This window comes from Homo sapiens, chromosome 3, assembly GCF_000001405.40.
Source record: "Homo sapiens chromosome 3, GRCh38.p14 Primary Assembly".
Classification (NCBI taxonomy): domain Eukaryota; kingdom Metazoa; phylum Chordata; class Mammalia; order Primates; family Hominidae; genus Homo; species Homo sapiens.
Genome location: NC_000003.12, coordinates 75,210,128 through 75,216,339, shown reverse-complemented (window position 1 = coordinate 75,216,339; position 6,212 = coordinate 75,210,128). Strand labels below are relative to the sequence as shown.

The window sequence follows — 6,212 nt, the reverse complement described above, 5'->3', positions numbered from 1 at the left end:
TGTGTCTTTATATTAGAATGATTTATATTCCTTTTGTGGTTAAGCTCCTATTATCTGGACATGTTCACATATAGTATTTGATTTAGATTATATCTCCACCTTTTTATTTTCTTTTTAGGTTCATAGAGACCAATGAGAATAAACAGCTGAGTTGTACGTTTCTGAAATTTTTTAAAATCAAATTTAATTTTTTCTCATGAGAATCTTATATTCCCAAGAAGAGAAACTCTTCCTATTAATCTTTAAGTATATGTTCCCCAAATGTGCAGACGTGAGAAAGACCTTCTCAAATAAAGTATTCAAAGGAAAATTTTTGTGTACTTTATGGTAAGCTGCTGCTCATTGTTAGATTTATGCATCAGATTTTTCCAATTTGAAGTAAAATAATTCTAAAAACATGGTAAACCTGAACATATTACCCAAAGGAAAAAAGATAGATGCAAACGTGGAAAGAAACTACTTGATGTAAGTGGAAAATTTTACTTTCTTATTAATATTTTCTGTTTTTAGGCATTCTATAGTTTCAAAATCTTTTACATATCCATGCCGATTTGTTTCTTTTTTTTTTTTTTTTTTTTTTTGGGGTCATCAGGTTTTACTGTCAACTACAAACCTTACCCAGCCAAAAACCTTCGTATTTTAGATGGTAGGAAAGACATTCCTCATTTAGGCAAGTAGGGTTCTCATTCAACCCTTTTCTGCTGTTTTTAGAACCTTCTGCTACCATATCCACCACTTCCACCACCAGATCCATAACCACCACCATAGGGACCGCCCGAGCTTCTTCCACCAAAACTGCCCCCTTTCATGGGTCCATAATTTGATTGCTGTTGTCCACTATAATTTCCAAAATCATTATAGTTCCCACCACCACCATAGTTACCACCGCCAAAATTTCCTCCTTCATTGTAACCATCATATCCTCCACCTCCACCATATCCACCACCTTGGTTTCCATATCCTGGTCCACCATCACCATAGCCCCCTCTACTACTATAACCAGGACCACCGCCATAGTTGCCACCATCACCTCCAAATCCATTATATCCACCATCACCTCCTCCATAACTACCTCTGCTGCCACCACCTCCACCACCTCCAAAGTTCCCTCCGCGACCCATAAAATTGCCAGATCCACCTCCACGACCTCTCCGTGATCCAGCAGACTGCATCTCTTGTTTAGAAAGGGTCTTTTTCACTTCACAATTATGCCCATTAATAGTGTGGTATTTCTGAACAACAATTTTATCAACTGTATCATGATCATCAAAAGTTACAAAAGCAAATCCTCTCTTTTTTCCACTCTGCCTGTCTTCCATAACTTCTATGGTTTCAATCTTGCCATACTTTTCAAAGTAGTCTCTCAAATTATATTCTTCTGTATCTTCTTTAATACCACCAACAAAAATTTTCTTCACTGTTAGATGGGCACCAGGCTTTACAGAATCCTCTCTAGAAACAGCTCTCTTTGGTTCCACTACACGCCCATCAACCTTGTGTGGTCGAGCACACATTGCTGCATCCACCTCTTCAACACAAGAATAAGTCACAAAACCAAAGCCCCTGGAACGTTTTGTTTGGGGGTCTCTCATTACCACACAATCTGTGAGTGTGCCCCATTTCTCAAAATGTTCTCGTAAACTATCATCTGTAGTTTCAAAGCTCAGACCACCAATAAACAGTTTTCTCAACTGCTCTGGTTCCTTTGGATCATGGCCCTCCTCCCCCCGGCGGCGACGGCGACGGCCGGAGTCGGGCTGGGGGCGACTGGGCGGCGGTTTTACCTCCATTTTGAGACCGGACTCGCCTCTTCCAACTCGAGTTCAATATGGGACCGAGAGGAAGAGGCGGGGCCAGTCGTCACGTGACGCGTTTTCCCCGATTTGTTTCTTATATCAGTCTAAAGTAGATAAGAGGGGTAATGATTTTCATTTTAGAACCAAGGCCCTAAGAAAATAAATGACTTGGCAAGGTTGTACACATTAAATGCTGCATCAAGGGCTTAAACACAGGCCTTTTATACTAGAAGTGTAAGATATCATCCAAAATATCTGAGGAGTCTTGTCAAAATATGTAACCAGTCACTTCCCTGATATTTTGAGTCAGATTCTTCCCTTGATTCCCAAATGTTCCTGACGTGCTTTTCAACAGCCTTATCACAGCCCTCTCAAGTTTAACAATCTTTATTTCAATAGAATGAGGAAGTCTCTTCTTCATGACACTTTTGATGCAAGACACTTAAAACCCACCTCAAATTGGCTTCAGTAGAAATGAGAAGGGGGCAGGGATCTATTTTCTCACATAAATGAAAACTCTAGGAATAGAAAATCTTCAGGGATAGCTGGATCTAGGATATTTAATGATGTCCTCAAGACCAGGTCCCTCCCCACAGTGTATGACTCAGTTCTTCTCTACAGTAGGACTAGGATCTCTTTTCCTGGCAGCCTCCAGGTGCTCCAGGCTTCATCAAATCTTCATGTCAAGGAGAGACATCTCCTTCCTCAACAGTGTTCCAGTAAAGGTTCTGGGTTTGCCTTGGATTAACTCTGAGTTAGTGGCCTTGGGAGAGGTTGCAGTGCTCTGTCAGCTGAGGCTTTCTTCCTAAGCTTGCCATCAGCTAGAAGCTCCAGCCCACAACACACATCAGGATAAAGTAAAGGCTGACTACTGCAGAGGAAAATTCATCTAATGTTGACTACATTAAGAGCTGCAAAGGACATTTAGCTCAATTTTCTTTTAACTCAGTATCCCCTGAGAGCTAAATAATCTTAGCTTGTTTTATCAGTAAGAGAAGACTTTAGGAGTTTTATGATGTGGCAGTGTCAGCGGGCTTTTGACTGCCAGTGGTCCATGTGGAAGTGGGCAAACGGAACATTTATACATTAACTGACTTTTCAATTCATTTATCTCCATTTAAACAGGTGCAGGTGACGGAAGAGCTGGAACTTGGAAAGTGTGGAACATTCCAAAAGCTCTAATGCTTTGAACTTAGACTATGAGGGGCTATTAAAGTCAGTCATTGTAATAAATTTATTATATTGTGGTACTTGTATCTGTCCAATGCCAGACAGAGTTCAGATTTATGGCCAATCATACATTATGTATCAGCTATAAAAATAGTTTTATGCTATTGCACTAAATTTCAAGAAAATAAAAATTCTGACAAAGAGGATACTACACTAAAAAAATCTCCAGCTTATGATCAACACCTTGGAGTTGCTTCAGCAATCAACTATGTATTTATGTTTAGTGTCTCTCAAAAGCACATTGAGACATTAATAGTAGTTTTCAGAAGCAAAAGTGGTGTCTAGAAGGAAGAAAGCTTTTAGCTGAGAAGAAATTGAATCAATTTTTCATTTTAAAGTCATAAAGGTTTTAGTGTTATTAAGCCCTAGAACCACCCTAACAAAAGAACATTAGTCCTAAGTAAATCGTGTCTTGTTTTGGATGGTACAAAGAAGTGCAAGAGTCAGAAATATATTTTTAAAAGTTAACAAAATCTGTTAAATAATAATGACTTCAGTTTTGAAATATTAGAAATTTCCTCCATCCACAAAAAGACATAAAAACTGAGAACAAAATGAAATTAAAATAGTGCTTGTCACCTCAAATTCATTGCTGAGGGAGTCATCACATTGAAAAGTAAAAATCAGGATTTAGCATTCAGCTAAAATGCTTATTCAGTTTTCTATAATCTGTAATAGTTTATTGAGCTTTCTTTATATTTCATTACCTTGATATTTTTGAATAGTGTAAGACATTCTTTTGGTAGACTGTCCCTCAATTTGGGTTTTTCAGACATTCTTTATGATTTGATTTACATTTTTGGTAGCAATACCTCTATATTAGTTCATTCTCATGCAGCTATGAAGAAATACCAGAGACTGGGTAATTTATTTTTTAAAAAGGAGGTTTAATTGAATCACAGTTTTGCATGGCAGAGGAGGCCTCAGCAAATTTACAATCATGGTGGAAGGCACCTCTTCACAGAGTGGCAGGAGAGAGAAAGAGTGCCAGCAGGAGAAATGCCAGATGCTTACAAAACCATCAGATCTCATGAGAACTCACTCATTATCATGAGAATAGCATGGGGAAAACTGCCCCCGTGACTGAATTACATACACCTGGTCTCACTCTTGACACATGGGCATTATTACAATTCCACGTGAGATTTTTGTGGGAACACGGAGCCAAACTGTATCAACCTCAGAGGTGCTGTTGCCTTCTCAGTACATCATATCAGGAGACACAGCATCATTAATGGTGATTTTGACTTTGATCACTCAAGTAAGATGGTATCTGCCAAGTTTCTGCACTAGAAATCTACTTTTTTTCCATTTTGAGTTTAATATGCATCTTTTGGGGAAATGCTCTGTTTATTTTCAAATTTTTACTCATTATTTTTAATGATAGTTCATGCTTCTGCCTAAAATAATTATTGCTCTGGTGATATTCTAATTCCATTATTACTTCTATCTCATTTGTTTACACTCTACAGTAAGGAAGAATTCTATCTCATTCATCCATCATTTATATCATTATGAACTTATGAATACTTGTTATATTTCATTCTATATTTTGTATATTTCACTACTTTCACTATTTATTTTAATGTTCACATTTTTCCAGATTTTAACCATTTGTATTGCAAATAAATAACATAACCACACTTAAAGGGGTGAGGGAGGGAGCTAACTTGAGTAAATTTTGAGCACAGTGCTTTGATTATATATGCTTATATTAAAGACTAAAAAAATTAAGAATGTATTGAACTCTAATTTGTAGCTGTTTTCTCACTCTAACATGAATTAACAATTATGAAGCTACTTTATGTGATTCTAGTTAAATAAAATGAATTGTTGATAGTGAAAAGTTGGTGTTTTACTGTTGGAGATGGGAGTGACATACATGGAAAGGTTAGAAAAAAAACATTATGTTGAATTGTAATGAAAAGTATCAATATAAACTTAAGGTTTTAAATTGTTTTAATTTTTCTTTTTTTGACAGGGTCTTGCTCTGTCACCCAGGATGGCAGATCATGCAGTGGTGTAATCACAGTCACTGCAGCCTCAACCTCCTGGTCTCAAGTGATCCTCCCACCTCAGCCTCCTGAGTAACTGGGACTACAGGTGTGTGCTACCATGCCAAGCTTATTTTTTTCTGGATTTTTCGTAGAGACGAGGTCTCATTACATTGCCCAGGCTGGTCCCAAACTCCTGGGCTAAAGCAATCTCCCTGCCTCGGCCTCCCCAAATGCTGGGATTATAGGTGTGAGCCACTATACCAGGCCAAGGTTTTTCATATACATAAAGATCCATTATATACAAATAAATATAGCTGCATGCATGTATAGTTGTGTGTGTATGTGTATATTTAATTAGAGAACGCCAATGGTCTGATGTGACAATCCAATTTTCAATAGGTTATGTACTCTTTATGTGCACTTTCTAATGCTCATAGCAAGTAACAAGCTCATTAAATTAGAGCTTGTTTTCATCTAATTGTATAAGTAAAAATATAAAGGACATCACATTTATTAAGTACTATGACATCCTTAATGTTATTACTGATTTCATTACTTTTGGGGTAAAATCAGGTGTTCCTAGGAAGTTGGAAATGCGGGAATTAAACTGACTTTTAGAGTTAAACATTAAACAGTAAAATCAACCCATTGAAGATCAAAGGAGAATGTGGAAATCCATATAATGTCAGCAGGACTTGATTATAACCCGATGGAATGTATTAACATATCTAAGAAAAGAGTACGTCTAACAGAAGGTAGAGCTGGCAGAAATGCAGTAAGAAGCAATTTAAAAAGCACAGATTGGCTGTCCCTATCCTTAAATACTATCCAGAAGGGGAAATTGCAACTATGCATTCAGGAATTAATAACTTCAGTCTCAGTAGCTGATACTCAGTAGATGATATGATTGAAATCTTACAGTATTAAGGTTTTCAATTCCATGCCCACAGTGTGAGTTTTAGATCTCAATTTGGTGCAAGAAATATCACCTGAGAACGAGTAGAAAATATCTGAGACACCACTAAGCAATCTTCAACAGTTACAACCTTCACTGTAAACTGCTACATCTGCAGTCTTATTCTATGCCTCATTCTCTCATGTTTGGTTACCGTGAATCTGTAGTGTACTTTCCCTTAGTAACTACACTACGATGTTCTGATGGTAAATCCAGTTTTTAGCTACAAGATTA

At 37.3% G+C, this 6,212-nt stretch overlaps 1 non-coding gene and 1 pseudogene across 1 annotated transcript; both read right to left on the bottom strand.

Moving 5' to 3' along the window:
- Positions 581-1,881, bottom strand: HNRNPA3P6 (heterogeneous nuclear ribonucleoprotein A3 pseudogene 6; annotated as a pseudogene).
- On the bottom strand, positions 1,791-1,864 carry MIR4444-2 (microRNA 4444-2). The gene has a single exon (NR_049831.1). It is a non-coding gene; the product is annotated as a microRNA 4444-2 (primary transcript).